Source organism: Homo sapiens, chromosome 9 (assembly GCF_000001405.40).
Source record: "Homo sapiens chromosome 9, GRCh38.p14 Primary Assembly".
In the NCBI taxonomy this organism is placed as follows: domain Eukaryota; kingdom Metazoa; phylum Chordata; class Mammalia; order Primates; family Hominidae; genus Homo; species Homo sapiens.
This window is the reverse complement of record NC_000009.12, coordinates 2,094,147-2,118,901: the sequence shown is the minus strand read 5'-3', so window position 1 is coordinate 2,118,901 and position 24,755 is coordinate 2,094,147. Positions and strand designations below refer to the sequence as shown.

At 39.5% G+C, this 24,755-nt stretch overlaps 1 protein-coding gene across 4 annotated transcripts in view; it reads right to left on the bottom strand.

Annotated features, from left to right (window-relative positions):
* SMARCA2 (SWI/SNF related BAF chromatin remodeling complex subunit ATPase 2) overlaps window positions 1-24,755 on the bottom strand; it is a 178,274-nt gene that overhangs the window by 74,719 nt on the left and 78,800 nt on the right. For all 4 annotated transcript variants that reach the window (NM_003070.5, NM_139045.4, NM_001289397.2 and 1 more), the window contains exons 20-25: window positions 22,138-22,245; window positions 21,431-21,517; window positions 17,286-17,332; window positions 14,733-14,899; window positions 8,485-8,648; window positions 2,853-3,080 (exon numbers count right to left, since the gene is read on the bottom strand). In NM_003070.5, coding sequence (NP_003061.3) covers window positions 2,853-3,080; window positions 8,485-8,648; window positions 14,733-14,899; window positions 17,286-17,332; window positions 21,431-21,517; window positions 22,138-22,245 — 801 coding nt within the window. The remainder of the gene's footprint in view (window positions 1-2,852; window positions 3,081-8,484; window positions 8,649-14,732; window positions 14,900-17,285; window positions 17,333-21,430; window positions 21,518-22,137; window positions 22,246-24,755) is intronic.

The following is a 24,755-nucleotide window of genomic DNA, read 5'->3' as shown; positions in this document are numbered from 1 at the left end:
TATTATTGTTAATGATTGGAGCTATGGATGGGATAACTAAAAAGGTATCAGTAACAAAAAAAACCTCAAAATTATACTTAATTAAAATAATTTAAATGAAGCAGAGAAAGCAATTACATATGGGCTAAAATTTTCATTTTATATTACGTCAAACAAAGGTACATTATCTCTCTGCTAATTCCTCAGAAACCAACAGTTCTCAGGATTTTTAGCAATGTTATAGGATGACTTCCACACTTAAAAAATGATTCTAAAAGTTCGGCATATGCTTCAGGATTTATCTTCCCAAATTATTTTTATCATATGCTGAGTGGGCTTGTTAGAAATCAAACGGGGAATTTCAGTGTATCAGTCGAGGGAAGAAAGAGGAAAACACAGAACTTCAGACATCCAATTTCACAAACTGTATATTCAAAAAGAGGCAACTTGTTTTAGAGAAAGAGTATGAGTGTACTAGCGGCTCAAATGAGATGACTGTGTCGGCTCCCAAGATAACGTCTTTCGCACTGCAGGAACTTAATAAGTGTTAGAAATGAATGCAATCCAATAAAGTAAAAAAATCTACAATTCAAGATAATAATTATTTCTGAAAAACCTTCTATTCTAGTTTGCCTCCAGATTGATTAAAGTCAATTTGTCTAAATATTACATTTCATCTGACAAGGACACAGACTAGCTGGGAGTGGGTTCAGACTTCACAGTACAAAATATCTGGTAATGTCTCCTCTGGTGAACAGATGTCCCGCTTCGCCTACTTTCTTCCTAGAACCACACATTACCCTCTCATCACCTGGACCATGAGGGGCTCAGACAACCCCATGCCCAAGATGAAAAGATTCTCTTGTAAAGTGCCTGTTTATGACCTTCATGGAAAACCAAATAGCTGGAAGTGCACAATGCATCTTCCTGGGTTCTCTGCCCCAGCACTTCATGGTCGCATCAACCATGGTGATGCCAGCCTATGTTGTCCTGATCTTTCAGAACCAGAGTCTTTGACTGCAGTCTCTCAGTGTTTTCAAACATCTTTACATCAGGACACAAGCCCCCCTGAAAACGGCAACATTTTTCTGACACACTGGCAGCCAAGAAGGGACAGGAGCCTCAGCAAGGCTGCTCACAGCTAGCCTTGATGGCAGGACAACTGGGAGGGGAGTGCACGTCAGGCCCCACCTGGCAGCCCTCGGGCCCAGGGGAGATCAGCAACTCCCTGCGGCTTAGGAAGGCTGGAAAACTCCAGGCTTCCTTGATTCTCAACCAGATCAGGTACTATTTTCACAAGGCCTACACAAAACAAATAAGCAAAAATGTAGTGGAGACGACTGGCTGAGTGTCAGCTCTGCTCATATCTGCTTTGTCACAGGATAGATCATTCGCCATATTGTTTTTTTGGAAATGTCCAAGTGTATAAACAACAAAAAAATCACCTGACAATTTGACTCCATATCTGTATCAAATATTCAATTTCTAGAATCAGAAACTATAAATAATTTGAGATAAAAATTTTTCAAATGTGTGTGGATAGTGAGTGCATGTGCATATGTATTTTTTATCATTTTCATGAAACTCAGTGGATAGCTAATCAAAAATATAAGACGGACAAATTAGGAGGCATAATACAAAAGTGCTCTTCAATTTGCAAATGGGTTCATTTCAGGATACCTTTAAATATCAAGCTTTACTTCACATTTAGATTCATTTTAGAAAAAAAAAATATACAGACAGTCTCTGGCTTAACAACGGCTGGACTTAGGATTTTTCGACTTTATAATGGTGCAGAAGGGATGCACATTCAGTACTCCACTAGACTTAAGATGGGGCCATGTCCTGATATTTTCAATTTATGATGGGTTTGTCGGGATGTAACACCATTGTAAGTTGAGGAGTATTTGTTTATAAGACTTTTAAAAGACTCAGGTTCATAATTTATAGAAGAATGCAAAAACACATATCCTATTTAAGGCAAAAATCAAATTATATCTAATATATGCAATGAAAACAGTATTCCACATGAATATGTAAGGTAGACTTACTCTTCAATTTGTAAGTATGGGCACACACAAAAAATATGTTCAGCCAGTTTTATGATAAGGACTTCTGCTGATATTCTGTAGTTTGCTACACTATATACATACGTTTAAAAATCTACTTCAAATCCATTTTGGAATGAATATTTATAAAATTACTAACGTTGGCAATCTAAAAATAATACAAATGACAACTCAACATTCCCCTAATAAAAACCTAATCAAAGCATTCTTCATACAACCCTGACAAATAAAGGCTGTTTAACCAGAATTTTTCCCAACCTTCAGACAGCTCTTAAAGAAAAATTTAAAGTAGAGGTTAAGGTCATGCTTGCCAAGAGCAAGTATAGCTAAATGTGCGGAAGATGGCTGTGAAGGTTTGTCCTACAAACATGTTGAAGCTCTGTGATCCCTGATCAAAAGGCAAAAGAGAGAGAGGGCTCTGGAGGATGAGAGAAAGAGGACCCCTTCCATTTATGTCTTGTCTCGTCCGGCTGATTTTGTCCCTAAAGTATCCTCTGCAGTTCTGCATCTGCCCTACAGAAGGCAGCACTGATGGTTCAATAAAGCAGCTGGTTTTACCACCCTGGGAAAAAGGAGGGAGCACCCACAGGCCAAGCCTTGAGGTTCCTCCAGCCATAGCTCTTAAGACACTCATTTTGGATAACTTTCACAGGCTTTCTGTGGTTGGGATCTAAAACAGCAGTTTATTTCTTCATTTTCATTAACGCCAGCCCAGGAAGTTTTTTAAACAAAGGGATTATTCTGAGTCCTTCAGAGACAAAAGGCCACTGTTTGATTTCATAAACTTGGGGTTTTCTCTAATACCTCATTTTCCTCCTCATGCTCCAAGATGGCCTGCAGGAATGCCCTCCGCTCGTGGCTTGAAGACTTTTGGTCAAACATGCCCGCCTGGATCACTTTCTGATCCACGTTCAGCTTGTATTTTGCGGCCGCGAGGATCTTTTCCTCCACGCTGTTCACGGTACAGAGCCTCAGTACCCGGACCTCGTTCTGCTGCCCGATGCGGTGAGCTCGGTCTTGGGCCTGCAGATCCTGTTTGGGGGGTCAATATGCTATGAGGACTGAGATGCCTGGCATAGGCATCCAAAACCGGACCCCACCCCAGAGGGAAATATGGAAGGGTTCTGTATTTCACCTTCACTAAGGTAAGATTTTGCCTACATTTTAAAAACACACAAGCTACGTTTGGAAAAATTCAGTGTCATTCCTAGTTGAAGAAACCTGGGTTGAAATTAACCAAGCCAACTGAAATACATCTCAGGTTTTGAAATCCAGGTATCATATTGTTTTTATCTGTCTCTAGGTTCCCCATCAGATTTAGTCCATATCTAAAACATTAAACAAGACACCAATGTCCAATGTCAGAATTATGACTTACATAACACCTACAACTAACCTTAAGTTGCAAGAAACGCCTTTTCTTTGGCGTGATGTGTTGAAGATTATTTTAAAAATATCACTGAGTTGTACATTCAGGTATTATACATACATACATCTTACCACACACACACATACACACACACTGACTGCTCAGGTAGTCAATTTCCTCGAACCTAACCTTATCAAAGACTCGGTCTTCAATCTGGGAAATCAAAAGGATTGCTAGTTGGGTAGTCAACTGGTAAACTTTTGGGGACAGAAATTTGTCACTACCTATTAGAAGTGTTAAAACTGTCTATGTCTCCGACTTAGAAATATTACTTCGGAAATGTATCCTAAACAAATAATCATAGATATGCACAAAGATTTAGAAATAAGGATGTACCTTCTCAGAATAATTTACTCTCTCTAATGGCTTTTTTTTTAAAAAAAGAAACATTCAACAATACTGAATTAGTTAAATGAATTATAGTATCCTACTATATGTATGTATCAACAAAGTATCATAAAAATTATATTGTAGGAGATTTAATGACATAAGTGAAAACAAGTTAAAAAGAACCATGTGCATTCTGATCTTACATGTGCAAATTTATCTATATAAAGAAAAAGGTAGGAGGACAAACACCAACATGCCAACAACGTAAATCTCCAGGTGATAAGATTATAGGTGTTATTTCACTTTCTTCACTTTGCTTACATTTTGCTTTTTTTCTGCTTTAAATGTTACTCATATATTAATAATAAGAAAAAAGCTTTCATGAAATTTTTAAATAAAAACCTTCATGAGCCCATGAAACAGAATTACCTAATTTTATAGCTACGTAATAAAAACTTCTTGGCATGTGGCTTTTATTCATTGTGGTCCAGGTGATGTTATCTGAGCTGATGCTAATTAGTTGTTTACACATGTCTCCCATTAGACTGTATAGATTTTTAGGGCAAAAGTCTGTTTTCTGTATCCCACATCCCTGGCACCATAATTTGCAGAGAGCTGATGCTCAACAGCTGTAAACCCGTCTTCTTGACCAGACAAGTCTCCTGGTCACCTGTTGTAGCACAAGAAGGCAGCAGACAAAAGGCTGCCCTGGAGATTTGTTTTTGCTGCAGGGACCTTTAAAATTAAGTAGCCAATTAGGCAAAACTTCTTCCTCAGCAGATATTTGAATAAGTTAATATAAATATCATAGTGCTAAGCCATGAAAACAGCTGGGACCCATCTATATTAGATTATTTTCTAAAGAGGAGAATGTAAGGTGGATCATTCAAATCCAAAGGGGACAAAGAACTTTAAAACACCCTAAAGTTCCTTTTTAAGCTTTTAGTTCAACCGTCCCTCTCCACATATCTTCACCAGACCTGCTAACAGCAGTCAAGATGACAAGGTCTGTGTCATGAGGCTTTTCACTATCTCCTGGAACAGAGGCCAACAGTCTCTAAAATGGGCGCAATAGTAAACGTTCTATGCTGTCTGGCCCAGAAGCAAAAATTGAACAACTGTTCTCACCAGAAGGCTGATACTCTTTTTCCCCACCATTTTCTAATTTATACTTTAAAAAGTGAAAACCATTCTTCACCTGTGGGGGTGCAAAAACAAGGGGCAGGTCAGACCGAGCCCGCGAGTAGTAGATTGCTGACCCTTGTCCAAGAAGATGCTGACAAAACCACAAAAATACTAATTGCAGGGGGCAGCAGAATATGAATAGAACAGGTGAGGAAGCAGGGCACATGGACAACATAGGAACACGGTCAGACATTACAGAATCCTTGGGAATTTGCTGCAGTTAAGTTTCGTTTGGTGGTGGTAGCAGTGATGTGTGTTTGTGTGTTTCAGATCACCCATCTAATTGGAAGGTCACAAAAGCTAATATTTCTAGACTGGAGAAGTTTAACGAAATGTGAGCTTGAGTCCCTAAGCCAAAATGTGGGGGGAATATTGTGACAAAGAAGTGCTGTAATTATTGGATGGATTACTCCATGTTTCTGAAGTCTCACTTCGGTGGTCTGAAACTTCATCACACTGACTTAGGTCTGATAATACTTGAAGCTAAGAGCCTGGTCTGAGAAGAGGGTCTGCAAGCTAAATGTGGTCGACCATTCCGTAATAGCAACACAGCTGCAGCTCCGTGGGTAAAAAACACGAGTACCAACCCATGTTTCTAACCAACAGTTTGGAAATGAGAGTCTTGGCAACCTGGTGGGATTTTTTTTTGTTAATTCCACAATCACGAGTTCTATCTTTGCTTCTAGGTAGGGTCCTCAATCAGCAACATTAAGGCCTCTATCTGTCAACCTATGTCAAATCCCCTATTTTCACCAATGTGCCTTAATTTTGATTCAACATGATAATGCATACTTATAGAAATTTTTCTTCAATGCATGCTAAAATTAACCTGATACAAAGACCTTCACAATTTTCATTTTGGGGGCTATACAATCTATATGCAAGGGTGCAAGGTAGAAAGAGCTCAAACCCAGTATTCAAACTGAAACCTAAACAGACATGGGTGTGAATGATCCTGGTGGGGTGTTCATGAGCAAGCTAACATTGACTGGTTTCCTTATGTAGAAGATATTTTGACGATTACTTGAGGTGAGGTATGCAAAGTGCCTAACAATATTTAGTAGAGTTCTGTACCTTTTAAATGAAAACTCAGATGGATCTTTATCACTATAAAATCACTGATTCCTGAAAAAGAAAAATTTGACCAAACTAATGGTCCTGTTCAGTGACAGATGAAAAATCTGGTCAGCTCAGTTTATTCAATCAGGTGGAAGTGAATCTACCTATGGCAGCTAGAAATACTTGCAGAGGCCCAGTGTGAGGAACCTGTTGTAAATTCCACCAGAGAAAATCTGGGATCCTGTGTTTTGCTGCCAAAGCTTTAGTTCCCATGTAGTTAAGAGGGGACTATTTCATGTTACTGCAATTTACTTTGATTCTAGAGTTCAAAGTTTTTAACAGAGCTAGAGAGAAAGTACGAAAAAAAAAAATGAGAGGCGGGGTGGGGTGGAACATCATACAGATGTCCCAGAGTTATTTTCCATGTTAAATTAGCATTTCCTGGAACAGTGGCTTTTAGGATTTATACTGTATACTGTGCCAGTGAAGGTAAACATCTAAGAGTCAGTGGAAATGCTTACCTCCGAAGACAGAATACAAGCAAACTCTCCATTCACCTATAGATCGTCCTCAAAACTTAGGTACCAGCAAGGATAATCTAAACATCCAATCACATTGAGCACACCAGGAGGAGAGGAGTCACATCACGTCTTCCTTCCTCCCCCTTAGATACCCAGCCTAGCTCACTGCCTGCTGCATAACAGACACTCAATAAATGTTTGTGGAACAAATACTGAATCCATAATGCTAAAAAGAAAAACTGCAGATCTCTCACATCAATATGAATTCTACCTGAGCCTTGGAATGAAACACTTTTATGTATTTATAAAAATACGTAACCATATTTCCTGAAGACTTAGAACTAATATATTCTGTGCTGGTGGCTCCCAATCCTTTTCAAGATCAGAAAATTTTAATAGTCGCTTTAATTTATTCACCTACAGAGAATGGTAAGTACACGCAGTGGCCCAGTGTTGGTGGTTTGGGCCCACAGTTGAGTCTTTAAATCAGTGCTCCTCATCTGTATGAGAATCTATTTCAGAATCTCCTGGGAGCGCTCAAAGGAAGCACCTAGCTCCACCGAATAAGAAAACTGGGGTGCGGTGGCAGGGAACAGAAAGCAGGCATGCATATTTTTTAAAAGCTCCCTTAGAATTTTAATGTACCCCTGAATGTGATTTCCTGCCAAAAGTGACGCTATATGGCACTGCCACTCAGTCTTCGCAACCCAGTGAGATAGTGTTACTGTTGAGAAAACCAGGGCTCAACGAGGAGCCTAGGAAAAGCTGATGTAGAATTCATACTCCTACGTGAGAGTTGCCATTTTCTTTTTGCTTTTCTTTTTTTTTTTTTTTTTTTGAGACACGGTCTTGCTTTGTCGCCCGGGCTGGAGAGCGGTGGTACGATCATGGCTCACTATAGCCTCTGCCTCCCAGACTCAAACAATCCTCCCACCTCAGCCTGCTGAGGAACTTGGGACTACAGGTATAAGTGCCACTGTGCCCAGCTAATTTTTGTATTTTTTTGTAGAGACAGGGTTTCACCATGTTGCCCAGGCTGGTCTCAAATTCCTGGGCTCAAAGCAATCCTCCTGCCTCAACCTCCCAAAGTCCTGGGATTACAGGCATGAGCCACCACACCTGCTCTTCATTTTTACTGTTTTGAATTCAACATTTGCTCCAGTATGAATCAAATCTTGACCAATATCACCCTACCCAATATCCTACAGGCAGATGCCTCACCTCCCAGAGTAACTTAGAAAACCAGTGCCATGAGAGACCCGCTCAATTTAAAAAAAAAAAAACAAAACATCAAAGTACTGCTTTAAAAGGATAGCCCTGAACTTACCTGGCTAAAAGAGCTTTACAACAATAAATGCTCATTAGAATATGTTTTGATGATGACTTTAAATAAAACACAAAATAAAAGGTTAACTACTGTAATACTATTTGGCCTTGGGGAAGTTACTTACCCTGCCTAGGATTCAGTTTCCTTGACTGCAAAGATTCAAATCATATTAACCGTCTGACAGGGTTGTCGTAAAACTGAATGAAAAAATGCCCAAGAGGCTGACACAGATTAAGGGTCCCATGAATGATGGTTGCTATTGTTCTTACTGCTATGATTTTGCAACATTTTTGACTTATCCCTCATTAAATATACTTTGTTCAATGGCAATCCCAAGAGATGGGATTAAAACTAAGGAGAAACTAAGTTTTTCTACCTCAAACTTCAGCTCTTCAAAGGCATATGTGGGACCTCGTATCTATGCTCTAAGGGAGATAAGAAAACAGCCAGAAGAATTGGCTCCAAGAAAGCAACAGCCCACTCGTTTAGATATTTGCTCTGTCCTGTAAATGTGAATAATGAAACTGATCATCTTTTAGTTGCTCTCCAGAGGGAGGCCTGGGCACCTGAGTGGGACATGCAGACCTGATGAGGATTCCAGTCGCTGTCAAAGATGACCACTGTATCAGCTGCCTGAAGATTTAAGCCCAGGCCACCAGCTCTTGTGCTCAGCAAGAAAATGAAATACTGGGATCCAGGTTCATTGAATTTCTTCAGCAAAGCAGCACGATCTTCAGACTTGGTGGTGCCTGAGGGGATCAGAAAAATTAATTTGCCAATTAACTCTTGTCTGAAAATGGCACAGAATGAGACAAAAAGGCTTGCTTCCTTCAAGAAATATACCCAGACTCCTCCTAACACTGGTGAGGTAATTTCCAGGGCTTTGTACTTCTGGATAAAAAACTTTGAACATTTTGCAATTACAAAAAAAAAGAAAGAAACAGCTTAAACATTTCTAATGAGGCATCTTCGCAACTTCACAAATTTTACAAAATCCTTACTCTCACCTAAAACAATGAAAACATTTTTTGGATTTATTTCTGTGATTTATAACAACAAATAATTTTAAGAACACACACACTTCCTCTCTCGCCCTGTCTCTTTCACTCTCACACACACACACGTGCACTTAAAACTGTAATAATGGCTTAAATAAACTTTGCCAATAGGCATTAAAGCAAGGACTTTTTTTATGCCAAGAAAATAGAAAAAAAAGGAAAGTTCTTTTCTACTACTTTACCATTTGGATTACTACTAAGTATGGTCTGGTTGGTAAAAACATAAATTATGAATGTAATTTTTTTTTTGCAAATGGAATAATTTTATCCTTGTTAGCAAGACTTAAAGCCACAATAATCCCCACCCCCCCCACAAGAAATCTCTTAGTCTGTTTCTCACGTTATCATCCTGCTCTGTTGAGTTCAAAGCATGCTAAATCAAAACCAACTAAACAGAGCAGCATGTTAAATACTTGGGGGTGGTTTGCCCCATGGGGTCTGAAGAGGCTCCAAAATAGTGAATAAGCAGACAGTACCAAACCTCAGAGTCTGGTGCTCACTTTTGGGGCATTCTTGCATTCCAGATGAGCCACTCAATCACATATTATGTATGTGTAATGTATTTACCCAGCCATTTCATGAAATGCATTGTGGAAGGGGAGAAAAAAAAAACACCAGTATTCCATCTGAACATATTTCACCAGAAAAGCTTAGATGCTGAATTTTGAAAGAAGGCTTTAGGCTGTTGGGAAATATGTATGCATGTTACATGACAGTCTCTGACCAGCTGCTCTTCAAATATTATTCCTACATGCTGTTCATTTTTTAAGGATGAAAACATACCAGCAATTTATTTCAGAGGATTAAAACATTTAAGTGACTATAGCTAATGAAATCAAGTTACTATGAGGGCCAAGTTCTCAAACATGGGGACGATCTGTTTTTCACATTTAATAAAAATAACAAATGCCCTCCTGAAGAGGGAGAAAACAAATCACTTCCCTGCATACAGCAAACAGGGATTAGAAATGAGGGGTCTGGGGGCTCTCATTGAGTCACATGGAGTCACATTCTTTAGACCCAATTTACTTTCTACATTAGGTTTCGAGTTTAGTGAACTGGTGAGGTCCGACACAATCAACTGTCCGAGTTTAGATTTTGGAGGAGGAGCACTAAACATGCTTTGATGAGTGAGCTTTCAAATGTGGGGCTCTTTTTTCTTTTATTTTCAGAATTGGCTTTCTGAGATCATGGTGAACTATCTGTTCACGACGCTAATGGAAGATATTTCTGCTGTGAAACCTTCTCTATCATCTTTCCAGCTACAAGAATTTTTTTAAAAATTACATGTATTAATGGTTCACATATTTCTCCTCTGCCTTAAACTGAATGAAAAGCCACAGAAACCAAAAATTTCTTCTAAAATGGGGAAAGAAGAGATCATGGCATCTGTGTTTCTGAAAACTGGGTACAAAACTATACATCTATACTCTCAGGATAGAAGTTCAACAGTTTTGATTAACTGAAAATGAACCAGCTGATAATCACACGGATTAATGAAACCGAACAGTTAATCTCATCAGGTCTGCCTGCCCTGCATGCTTCTGGTTTCTTGCTTTTTGTTATTTTTGTTTTCTCTTTTTCCATGAAGCTGAAGGCTGCAGTAGCTGAAGGTCTTGCTGCTGAATGCTCAAACTTGACCTTCACTGGCTACTTTACAGATAACATGCATACGTCACCATGGTAATGGTTACTTCAGTTGTTTTTCAGGAACTTTGGCCAGCTCTGTCCAGTTCAAACCCGTTGACACCACTGGCCCTTAAACTGGGCCTGAGCGCAAGTGCCCAAGAGATGGCCTTTTGATGTTGGAGAGCCAAAAACTCCACCATCAGATCATGCTGACTCTGCCATTTTTTGTATGTATGTCCTAGGAAATGCCATGAACCCTGGCTATGCCTGTGTAGAACGAACCTGTGATTTCATTTTTCCCCACTGCCAATCACCTTTCCCTGTGCCTTACACCACCCCACTTCCTTACCCCATAAATATCCCTAAACCTTATCTTCAGGGAGGTAGAGTTGAGGGCTGTTCTTCCATCTTTATGCTTGGTGCCCTTGTGAATAAATCTTTTCTCTTTTGCAAAACCTGTGTCACAGTGATTGATTTACTGCACGTGGGCAGAACAGACGTGGATCTGGCCAGTAACATAAGATATAAATACAACCAATGCCTACTGAGATGAAATAACCTTACATGCAAAATAAAGCACTGAAAAACAAAAGGAATATCCAAATAAAATTATTTGGTCAAAGGAGTTTTCAGACCCTATAACAGATACCTCAAGCAAACAGGCCAACCATATATCTGGTGTGTATTTAAACTGTATAGGCCAGGCATGGTGGCTCACACCTGTAATCCCAGCACTTTGGGAGGCCAAGGTGGGCGGATCACCTGAGGTCAGGGGTTCGAGATCACCCTGGCCAACATGGTAAAACCCCATCTCTACTAAAAATATAAAAGTTAGCTGGGCATGGTGGCACACATCTGTAATCCCAGCTACTTGGGAGGGTGGGGCACAAGAATTGCTTGAACCCAGGAGGCGGAGGTTGCAGGGAGCCGAGATGCACTCCAGCCTGGGGGACAGAGCGAGACTCCGTCTCAATAAAATAAAATAAAATTAAATTAAATAAACTGTATAAATAGCTGGGAACTTGACAAATTATAAAAAACAAAAAAGATTAAGTCATTTTTCATACAAAGCTATGGCATTTCTTATCATAAGGTTTGCAATTTGCTAGAAAACCCTTTCTGTCAAAGATTTCCAAGTCAAGATCTTTGCTGATCATCAGCAATCTTTTTAACAAATATTTTTTTAATTTAACAAATTTTTTTTGTTAAATTTAACAAAATTTTTAATATTGTTCAGGGAGATTCAAACTACCATGTAACAGTCTATCCAAAGGCAGACACTCCTTGCAAGTGGCTCAAGATTTAACGTGCTCAATACTAACATCAGTTTCATGGTCTTTCAGACTTTGATACATAACCAATTATAAGCATACAATTAATAGGGCAACTGTGTTGAAAATTACAGAATTTACCAGAAGGAACACACTGTCAGACTTTCATGATGACTAATTTTAACTTAGTTTCACCTGCTTTTAGAAAGTGTTGTCTTCTGGGATAAAACCTCACCACTTGCTCTCACTCAAAAATCATTTCCAGTAAAAACAAAAACTATATGGAGTATTAGCTAAATCTATTCATGCAACCATAATCTTTGCAGAAAATTTCTGCTTAGCTCTCATCAAGTGATTTTTTTTCCCCTAAAGTCAAAATCTGAGACATCAAATTCAGCAATGAAAATCTGAAGTCATTTTAATAATTGGGTGGTGGGATGGGGGACAGAAGGGGGTTCAGCTGGAAGTGTGTGTACTAACTTATCTGTGTGTATATTGATTGTTTGTCCATTAGTTCTGTCCACCCTTAAAAGGAACGGCTGCTGTTTCTTACGGAAAGATGCCTTTTCAATTCCATCTGTAACATGTTAGGCAATTTGCTTGTCTGTCTCCTTCCACCTAATGGTAAGGACTCTGAGAGCAGCAACAGTGAATAGTTCATCCATCCTGTATCTCTAGTGCATGGTGGTTTGCAATTAGTCAATTGAAAATTTTAAATAAGTTCAAAATCATTCTTAAAATGTTGTAGCTAGAGAAGAAGCCTGTATTTTCAGAGATGGGGTATACCTCTCTGGATCTGCTAAAACTCAGCTAATTTGGAATCAAACAGATCCAAGTTAGAACCTGGTTTCACCATATGCCTTTGTTTTCTCATCCTTAAATGGGCATCATAATGGCACACTGGTTGACAGGGATAACAGTAGCTTATTTATTGAGAAAATCAAATTAATAATGCACATGAAATGCTTGGCCCAGAGTCCCACAGAGCGGTGTTCCATACATGTTAGCTGTTGTGACTATTACTAACAAAAGGACAGCAGCCAATAAACTATTAAAGAGAACCTCTCAGGCTGACAAGAAAACATGAAAGCAATTTGTTTCCAGGAAGTCACTTCTTACCAGTTTGAGAGATGCAAATATTCCAAAGAAGCAGTCGTCAGAGACCTGAGATTGGAAATGAAATGCCACAAAGTAGCAAGTGATAGTTACGCAGGACGCCTGTGTGGGGCTGTCAGTTCAGGGGAAAATACAGCCCCACAACCCCACAGCCCCTCACTTGAGCAGCAGGTAAAGGACAGTTTGTCTTTTGAAAGAAGAGTGCCGAATTTTCCACTTTCCGGAGGCAGGGATCCAGTCAAAGGAGAAGAGACAATAAAGGAAATTTGCCAACAGAGAAAAACTGTGCCTAATAGGACTGTATTTGTGAACTAAAAATTGACATTTACGTAACCATTCATTCATTACGTAATTTGGAGGGGAGAGGTAAAGGGGTTTAAATAATCAAGTTTCATGCCTGTAATCCCAACACTGTGGGAGGCCGAGGCAGGTGGATCACTTGAGGTCAGGAGTTCAAGACCAGCCTGGGCAACATGGTGAAACCCCATCTTTACTAAAAAATACAAAAAAAAAAAATTAGCCGGGCGTGGTGGCACATGCCTGTAATCCCAGCTACTCGGGAGGCTGAGGCAGGAGAATCACCTGAACCCGGGTGGCAGAAGTTGCAGTAAGCTGAGATCATGCCACTGCATTCCAGCCTGGGTGACAGAGTGAGACTCTGTCTCAATAAAAACAAAATAAAATAAAAAAAAAAATCAAGTTTGTCAAATGGTATAATTAATTTGAAAATTAATTAACAATACCCTAAGAGGCAGACCATAAAGAGAATTCACCTAAAACCTTAAGTCAGAGAACATACGGCAAGTCTGAGTTTGGTATCTATCCAATTACGTTCAATTAAGGCAAAAAGGAAAACAAAATGTTGGATTGAAAATAAAGTCTTTTAATGAAACATAAACCTTAAGTTTCCCATTTAACAATAGTAATACTGCATTAGATAAATACTGGTATTAGCAGTATCCTCTTTTCTACCCAGGGATTAAATAGCATCCTGACTGTAAATTAACTTCTATTCCTACTTACCACTCTTTGAATGCCATATTTATGCCCTTCCATTGTGTATAAATGCTGATACTTTCAACCTCTAATATATTATGGCTGATATCCAAATCGTAAAATAATTTAGGGATTATCCCTAAAATCATATTTGCTTCCATTAATATTTTTTCTTACTAATTTTTAGGACACGGTATTTAAATTTCACTCTTAAAACCAGGCAAATATTTTACATAGCTTGCAAAATCCAGGAAACAATGAAGTCATGTCTCTTAACAATGTAACATGTGGATACGTCTTATTTAGGAAGAGAGGGGCTTTAATGATAAATATAATCTTAAATGAATGATTGTATTGTTACAAAGAAAAGTGACATAGCCTTTATCCCCTTAAAATATGCCTTAACTGAAAAAGTTAAAGGTGTGTCAATGTATTCTATATCTTTGGCACATAGGTAACAATTTTAAGAGCAAGGAAGATTTTAAAATTTTAATTTAGTTTAATTTTATTTTATTTAGGTACTCAAAAGTGACTCTAAACTCATTTGTGTTGGTTTATTTGTGGGCTATGCAGCTGCACAAATGAGGTCAGCTTATTTAAAGCTTAAGGATGCAAAAAATTGCTATCTAGAAAAACTGCTCCCAATGCTTCTAGTCAATTCTTCAATTTTACCCCTTCTTTTTGGCTGAGATTGGACCTAAGTGCCCATTATCCCTTCATTTTCAGTAGTATGGCTTCCGAGCCTAATGCCTTATGCACTTACCATCAAGGCGTAGGTAAAGGAAGTTCCGAAAAGCAAAATAATCCTCCATGATGGTCATGAGAGATGTCATCTGGCAGAAAAGCAGCACTCGGTGATTAGTCGCTCTCAATTTTGGCAGAATACGATCAAGCAGCTCAAACTTCCCTGAGGCCCGATACAGTTCAGCCCTGAACCCAAAAAAATGCAAAAACAAGAAGACAGTATTACTTCTGTCTTCTTAAAAAATCCAGCATTGCTTTGCTTTTCATATAGTCCTTTGTACACTGTAAACATTCAATAAGTAACTGTGAAATGAATGAATGAATGAATATGAACTCCAAAGCAATGAGAATATTTAGCAGAAAAGGAAAATATATTCATATAAAACCCATGAAAAGTGCATTGCATATACTAGGTATGATGACAGGTTCTAGAAAGAAAAGGAACCACTTTCATGTTCTTAATACTTTCAATCTTTCTCTCAACTTATTCTTTCTCCTCGCCCTCTCTCTCTCTCTCTCTCTCTCTCACACACACACACACACACGTACACACACACGTATATGCCATGTTTCTGTAAATTTCTCCTTATTCAGTATATAACTTTTTAAATTTTTAATTCAGGGCACTTAAGATTCATCTAAATACTTACTGATCACCTACTATGTACCAAGCACAGTGCTAGCCATGTATATAATAATAAGCAAAACAGAGTCTCATTTTACTAAATGGATAATTACAAACTGTAATAAATACTATTAAAATAACAAGTTCCAATGAGAAAACTCACAGCAACATGTGATGCCTTCTTTAGATTGGAGCAGAGTTTGGCAACCTTTGGCCCCGTCTGCTGTCTGTTTTTACAAATAAGGTTTTATCAGAACACAGCCACACTCACTCATCTCTATTGTCTGGCTGCTTTCATGTTACAGAGGCTACGCTGAGCAGGTGTGGCAGACACTTTATGGCCCACAAAGCTGAAAATATTTACAATCTGGATCTTTACAGAAAAAGTTTGCCAACCACTGGTTTAGAGTGTCAGAGGTGACCTCCCTGAAGAGATAACATTTTAGCTAAAACCTGAAATAATGAGTAAAAAGGCATCCAGGTGAAGAACGGGGGCACTGGGGTGGAGAGGAGGAGATTCCAGGGAGAGGAAAGAGCATGCATAAAGGTCCTGAGGGGTAAAGGAGACAGAAGGATTTGAGAAATTAAAAAAAAAAAAAAAACAGGGAGCATGGCTTAAACAGAAGTGAGGAGAGAATACTGGGAGATGAAGACAGAGAGGTGGAGGATGGGACTAGGAACAGACTCTTTAGGGCTCTATGAGCTATACTGAACGTTTTCATTTTCAGTGCAATGAAAAGTCATCAATGGGTTTTAGGCAGGGGAGTGATGAGGTCTGGCGTACCTTTTTATAAGATCACTATGGACGTCATGTAAGAATGGACTGGGGGAGGACAAGAGTCTTGGATTACTATACAAGTACAAGTCAAAAACACGTTGGGAGTATGAGATGCAGAAGACGCTGTGATATGGAGAAAGGCTAAAGCAGGGCCTTTTCCCTCTACAGTTCACCCATTTTTTTCTTTTATCAACAGGACTGTGTTATACAATTAAAACCGAATTTTAGGTGATACTGTTTGGAAAACTTGCCAGTGCACATGTAATCTATAGTACTGAAATGTCTCATCTGGTAGTTGATTTTATGACACAGGATATGTTATTTCTAACAGACACATTTTCAAACGTATGTCTTCCCGACATCCATCCTCCACTCTGAGAACTGTTCTCCAAATACCCTATAGCTGTGTTTTCACCATGCAACCCTGGCCAAGCTGATGGGAGCAGGAGTAACCACAGAACCCAGAGAAGAGAGAGGCAAGGAGAGGTAGGGAAAGCTTAGCAGCACTGCTTCAGGATAGGCTATAGTTCCTGGTTCTTAGCCCAGTGAAACTGTCCGCCCTTGGGATCCAAAAATGATGACTACATCCTAATAATAAATTTTTCAAATTTGCAACACACCACACACACACACACACACACACACACACACACTTTCTGTTAATGCAGTGTTCATTTTTGTTGTTGCAAGTCAAGATTCTCTTTAACATCCATTGCTAATGAAAAACATTTCTTACACAGACCACACTCTAACAAATGACTATAAAACTGTAAACATTTACAGCAGATGAGAGATTTCTTCTCATGTACATTAATGTCAAATGTCAATGTGAAATTTAATAAGATACATTCTCTTCAAGCCCAAGCTATACTTTTGGTTATAAATAACAAACCTTTGAAGCTTCAACAACATTTTTAGAACACTAGGATACTATTAAGTCTATTAAATAAGATCTATGTCCTTTGAATAGCCACTTGCTTAAGGCAAGTAATAATTTATGCCAGTAAAGTAAAAGAGAATGCTGATACCGTTTTGGTTAACTTCTCCACTGAAGAGCCCTTAGAGGGCTGGAAGTAAGTATTTGCACAAGAGGAAACACTGTAGAGAGGAGGAGTTTATGTAAGGCCAACAACATTTTTTTTTAAAAGAAAAAAAAATTTGAGATTTACCCATTGATGACCCCATTTGAATAGCCTAGGTGTTCAGCAAAGGATTCCTTTAAAAGAGAGAGATAGAAAGAATGATTTTAAAAAATGTAATTATTAACTTAATGATTACTCTTTTAGTGAGGTTATCCTACCTATTTCTATAGTTAAAACAAAATAATTAATGAATAAGCAAAAAACTTACACACGTAATGAACCAGAAATTCAGTATATTGCATGCAGACTTTTGTTCCATCAGAAAAGTATCCTGTGAGTTTCTTCTAGTCTCTAGACTCTCAGGTAACAGGGTTACTTTACCCATCACACAGTCACTGAGCACCCACTGGCCCATAGCGGAGCCAATAGTTATTTCTGGAGATCCACCCTCTAGGGTGGATCTGAACTCAAGGAATACAGAGTCTAGACTAGAAGAGCACAAAAACAAGCAAATCAGAATTAATATGTATATATAAATATATGTGATAGGGTTTGGCTGTGTCCCTACTCAAATCTCATCTTGAATTATAGCTCCTATAATTCCCATGTGTTGTGGGTGGGACCCTGGGGGCGACAACTGAATCATGAGGAAGGTTTCCCTCATGCCGTTCTCATGGTTGTGAATAAGTCTCACGAGATCTCGTGGCTTTGTAAGGGGTTTCCCTTTTCACTTGCCTCACATTCTCTCTTGTCTGCCACCATGTAAGACGTTCCTTTCACCTTCTGCCATGACTGTGAGGCCTCCCCAACCATGTGGAACTGTGAGTCCATTAAACCTCTTTTTCCTTACAAATTACCCAGTCTCAGGTATGTCTTTATCAGCAGCATCAAACTGGACTAATACAATATGTATTGTGGAAAAATTCAGCAATAAAAATAATTGTGATTATATAATATATTATAATTCTTAGTTCGGTGAAATCTTTTCTTTTTTTTTTTTTGAGACAGAGTCTCACTCTGTTGCCCAGGCTGGAGTGCAGTGGCGCAGTCTCAGCTCATTGCAAACCTCTGCCTCCCAGGTTCAAGCGATTCTCCTGCCTCAGACTCCTGAATAGCTGGGACTACAGCATGTGCCACTATGCCTGGCTAATTTTCTGTATTTTTAGTAGAAACAGGGTTTCGCCACATTGGCCAGGCTGGTCTTGAACTCTTTACCTCAAGTGACCTGCTTGCCTTTTCCTCCCAAAGTGCTAGGCTTATTGGATGAGCCACCACACCTGGCCAGTTAGGTGAAATCCTAATGTCTCCTCTATACTGTGCTTTCCTCCATTACAAATAAGGTCCTAGATGTACAGCACCCCTCAAGTGTCCAGCTTCTGTTTTCAGAATACAGAACGTAATCACATAACTCCGTCCTTTCTGATTCACAGAAAGAAATACTGTTTTCCACGCATTTCTCCATTCTGACTTTATGAGAAATGACTGTTCTCCATGCATTTCTCCATTCTGACTTTATGGGAATGGCAACCATCTGTGGGAATGGAGAGCAGGTTACACCTTCACATCAGCCACCGGCTGTCTCCCTTTTCTGCTTTCCCTCCTCCCTGGATCCCTGCAGCTTTTCCTCCAAGGGGACCAGATCTTTCCCTCTGGGCTCAACAGTACTCTCAAATATGCTCATGATCTACGGTAGGCTCCAGCCCTGTGGCAAAATTAACAGGATGGACTGTGGCCAATACCTCAACTCCATCCCCTAGAACCAAACCCATGGTCTCCATTAGGCTCCATCCCTGTCTCCAAGCAGGATTGTCAAAACCAAAGAGAGGGGTCAATGGATGCTGTTGGAGATTAGGTAACAGCATCATGTTAAAAATACTGTTTCCATTTCTTGAGTTTAAGGTCCCCAGGGAGGCAGTGAGACCCATTTTGAGGCTCAGCATCTGGCAGGATTTAGTATGAACAAAGGGTGTGTGGCAAACGAAACACAACAAAGGCAAATTCACACACCATCTCTGTTCCATAGTTGTCAATAGATTTGCCAATAACTGTGGATCTCTTGTTTCTAGGGAAAAAAATTGCAAATCAGAGTCTGCCTTTCTACCAACTGCTACTTAAAATGTCAATATGTAGGTACTGAAGGGCATGCACCTTCAACTTCGCTTCCTTCATGATTCCCCCTCCTCCTCTATCCTTTCCCACCCTCCAAACTGAAGCTGGAGGACAGAAGGCATCATCTCCCTTCCTTCCCTACTTAGCCCAGCATGGCTCAAGGGGTCATTTCTTTTATGATAACCAAAACGAAGTAAGATTGATGCTTAATCTTCAAAATTCCTAAGTCCCCAAAGGCCCCCATAGATTACCATACATGTCTTAAAATTGTTTTCAGAAGAAATGGGACAGTGGGTAACAGGTTAGACTAAGAAAATCCCAGACAGTTTCATCATTAGACTTTTCTCCCAGCTCCTCTAAACCCAACATACACCCACCACCAATTCATTGGTACCTTAAATCTGATATAACACATCATCAGTTTACAAGATGCTTCACATGTTATTGTTTAAAAGCTGGTCCTCCTGCCAGTAGTATAATCTATTATTACCCCTGTTTACAAATCAAGCACATTACAACATGAAGAATCTGAGTGACTTACCCCAGTTCACAGTTACAAAGTGACCTGGTGGATATGAACTCATTTTTGGCCATTGCAATCCCCTTCAACAATACATGTAAATAACTGTGACTTTTTTTTTTTTTTTGAGACCGAGTTTCGCTGTTGTCACTCAGGCTGGAGTACAATGGTGCGATCTCGGCTCACTGCAACCTCCACCTCCCGGGTTCAAGCAATTCTCTTTCCTAAGCCTCCTGAATAGCTAGGATTACAGGTGCCTGCCACGACACCCAGCTAATTTTTGTAGTTTTGTAATTTTGTAGTTTTAGACGGGGTTTCACCATGTTGGCCAGGCTGGTCTCGAACTCCTGACCTCAGGTGATCTTCCTGCCTCGGCCTCCCAAATTACAGGGGTGAGCCCCCTGCACCCAGCCATGAGATTTTTAAAGTGTTGTTGCTGTTGTCATTTTACTCCAGTATGTAGGTACTTTCCCCTGTGTCTATGGATATTCTCCTCTATGCCCACACACTCTCTCCTATGTCTATGGGTACACTCCCCAGTGTCTATGGATACTTTCTCCTATGGACTCCTTGAATAGCAGTGTCAGAAATCTTTCCAATTATCCAGCACAGCTAGGAAAGAACTCTGACATGTGGATATGGTGTGCCATGAATACTCTGACCTGACATGTACAACTGCCAAAAATAAGGGACAAAAAAGAATATTCGAAAAGAAGAGTGCTCCAACTCAATTTTTATACTGTGATTAAGTTTTAACTTTCCAGAAGTTTCTATGTATTTTTTAAAATAAATTGGTGCAGACACTGGAGCCCTGCAGTGATGTTCTCTATGTCTCCTGCCCATTTTGCAGTAGCAAGTAGGCACTACCCTGGCAAATAATTGCCACCAGGACCATTTGCCTCAGCAGCAGCAATGACAAATGGGGAATACAATTGTGGCTCCTTTTCATTCCTGCTCCAGTCAATTGTGCCCACTGGGGTGAAACACTGTCAATTTAGGAAACTTATTCACATGGAGTGAACATGGCAGAAAATGTCCTCTCCCTGCAAAATAGCTTTCTAGAGACCTGAGCATCAGGATGAAAGCCTGGATTTACATCATCATGACAGAAACAAGAAAGGAAAAATATAAATCAAAGTAACAGACTAAAGCCAGTGTCTTTTACAAAGAAAATATTTAAAGAAAATCTTTCTCTTTAGAAGTCATAAATACATTATTTTAATATTTTTCACGGCATTCTTTTGAGGAAGCTGAATGTATTTATCATTATCTTCAATTTCAGAGCTCCCAGTATAACAAGGTAATTCACAGTACTTACCCAAACCCACACAAGTGAGCCACTGCTTATAGCATTTTCTCTCCACTTTAAACTCTTGGTTATAAAATTCCAGATGCTCAAATGCTTGGTGCCAATGAGAACCCATAACCAGAATACTCATGTTTGTTAATTCTGCTTGTCGAGCTATCAGATCATGTCATCTCAACTTCCGCCAACATGTTTTAAATCTATTTTGGTTTTTTTTTTTCCTGTTTGTTTGTTTTTTTTTAACTAGCATTAGTATGATTAGCACAATCAGGCTCAAAACACACAATACAGACTTACCTCAATGTGCTGAAACATATATGGGTGGTTGCAGATTTTTCTCAACTGCATAATAGTGTTCATAAGTGTCTTAGCACCTCCTTTCCCCTAAGAACCAGTGGAAAGGGAAAAATAGAATTAATTATTAACTGGTCAGACATTTCAGATCCTTCACACTGGGCTTCTTATACAAAGGACAAAGGACCATAGGTTTTTTCAGTCACCTACACACCTTGTGGTTCAAAGCTTCTTTAATTATATAGCAGTTCCTGAGTTAGACATAATGTCTTTCTTGTGATTAACTTACGCTACAAAAAAAGTGAACCTTGAAGGATTATGTCCAGTGAGGGATATGGCTTTGCGACATGACTGTCTATTCCGTAGGACTCCGGAACACAGAAGCACAGAACAGATGCCCAGGGAGTGAAACTGGATTTTAAAACCTTCTAAAATGCCACCCCACACTTAGGCAGAATATATTTGCTGCAAAATTGACATAAGCAGAGCTAACTATTTTGGTAATATGAACATATTCCTTCTTTCTTCCTGCCCCAATGCAGCTAAGAGGTGAAGAGATTATCTTTGGCAGCTATAATAGCTCAAAGGAGGTCCAGTGATTTACTTTAACAAATCAGCATTAGCAGGGATGCTTCCTGTGAATATTCAATGTCACAGCCATGAGAAGACATACCACAGCACCTTGAGTTGCATCATCTTTCGCAACGTACCTTCTTATCTTTCTCAGAACCATCTGTGAGAAGGATCCCCTTGGCTTGCATATGGCGATACAGAATCTTCTGCAGAGCTGACATGTCACACTTGATCACATATTCCACCTGCAGAAAAGAGAACAGTAAGTAGGCAAGAGCAGGAAGGAGAAGGCGCCTGTTCTAAGAAGACTGCTGAGTCAGTGTCACTCCTGGAAGCACAAAGGTGTCTCTCTTTCTCTTTCTTGGATTCACGGAGTGCGGGGTGAGATGGGGGTGTTAGAAGAGACCAGAGTCATCATTGTTCAAGGTACCATTATGATGGGGGGGCCTTCTGAAGGTTATATGTAATTGATGCTAGGGTCATGTTTTCTGAAATTTCTTGACTTGGTTCCAAATTTGAGAGAGAGAATGGCTTACAAACTGTTTAAATTCAAAAATGTTCAATATGGGATATTTTTAGCATTTCCTTCACTTCCCAATTATACTTCCTTTCCTATGAACAGAACGGTTTTAGGAAAAGCAGTGACTGGCAAATATCCTGTGATTTTCTTTGTGAAACATTTTTAAATGGTCACATGTGGTATCTCTAATACTAGTCTTAAAGTGAGATTTATAACATCCCTAGGGTGACTACCATTAACTTCTACTCTTGAGAAATGGCAGGATACAACATAGTGAGAACAGGTGGAAGAGAAATTAATCCACAATTGGACACTACTTTATGGTCATCTAAAGGAGGACAAGGCCTCCTGTGCTTCCAGTTGAAATACCATCAAAATCCAATTTTAAAAAGTTAAGGGGAATTCACATGCTCATGGTTTATCACACACCTGCGTACTTTATCATACTCCTAATACATAAAATCTGCCTTATTTCCTACCATTGTTTTTCTTTATTTAATAAAGAATCCCAATAATACAAATGTGCAATTCTCATAATAAACATCAGATTAATGCCTAGAAATATGCAGAATGTGATTAAAAATAAATCAGCAAGCTGACTAATGTTTAATAAACTGATGTAAAATGATCACATTATTTGCAGCTCTGAGGGCCAGGGAGAAGAGGTCACAGAGAACTTGAATATTCCTTCAATTGTTGCTTTCGAAGGAATCTGTCAGGCCACATGGAAGCACAATTAATAGTTTCTGGCCACACATTTTCATGCATCAAATGAGATTAGAGAAAAGCCCGCTCTTTTACAGAAAAGGTGAGAAGTGTAAGTAACCCTCCAAAAACATGCTTTAGTCTTTAATGACCTTCTTGGCCAGGTGAAAGAAAAATCTCCAAGATTAATCAATAAGTATGCATTTAATACAGGCTTTGTGTTTTAGATAACTGATCATGTTATATGTTTAAAGTACTTCTCCTTTTTTTTTTATGAAAATTTTCTATAATTTGGCCCGGTGCGGTGGCTCACGCCTGCAGTCCCAGCACTTTGGGAGGCCGAGGCGGGCGAATCACGAGGTCAGGAGTTCCAGACCAGCCTGACCAACATAATGAAACCCCAGCTCTACTAAAAATACAAAAATTAGCCAGGCATGGTGGTGTGTGCCTGTAGTCCCAGCTACTCAGGAAGCTGAGGCAGGAGAATCGCTGGAACCCGGGAGGCGGAGGTTGCAGTGAGCTGAGATCACGCCACTGCACTCCAGCCTGGGTGACGGAGCAAGACTCTGTCTCAAAAAAAAAAAAAAATTCTAATTTTTTCAGCTGTATTGAGGTATAATTGTATCAAGGTATAATATTTTAGAAAGGTATAATATATACAAATACATATTGTGTATATTTAAGGTACGTCTGTGAGATTTTGATATACATAAACATTGTGAAATGATTACCCCAGGCTTCTACTTTTTCAAGAGCTGTTAACTCACAGTGACATTTGATAAGGGTAAAGAAAAACGCTGAACAACTTTAGACTTTAACAAGTATAATGGTAAAATGACATCAAGGACTAATATTACTGGGCTCTTTCCACAGAAAAAGCCCTGTGCAAAGTGCTTTCTGAGCCTTCTCTCATTTAACACACAAAAGAGCTGTACTGGGATAGCCACATTTAGCCTTCTCATTTTATAGATTAGGAATCTGAGCACCACAGAGGTTTAGCTACAGACCCAAAGATATAGCTATTGAATGGCACAGTTAGGATTTGAAATAGAATCCACTCTTTTAAGCTCCACGTTAGGACGACTGAGGAGATTTTCAGGCTTCCTAGCTCTGCCTGAGGTTCACCTTCACCTGCACCTCCCTGCTGGCTTGATCAAACCTTCCTGAATGTGGAAGGCATGGCTGATGCTTGTGCATTTGGGGAAGGCAGATCCAGAATTCAGGAAAGAACACTCAAGCACCTTCCTATGAGTCAGCCACTGCTAAGGGCTGGAGGTGAAGGAGTTTGGAAAGCAGGAGGCATGCATGGTGATACCATGGAGACAGGGATGCCAAGCATTCTCAACGAGGTCAAGTCAGCAGAGAGGCAAGCAGCTCTCAAGGACCTGATGGCTGCTCTTAGAAGGCAGAGTCTCTTTCCTCACACAATTAGGGCATTTAATACACAGGATCAAAAATCACATAAGCTTCACAACTATATTTTATGTTTGCTCCCAGAGCCTTCTCAAACAACTCCAGGCCACTTGGTTT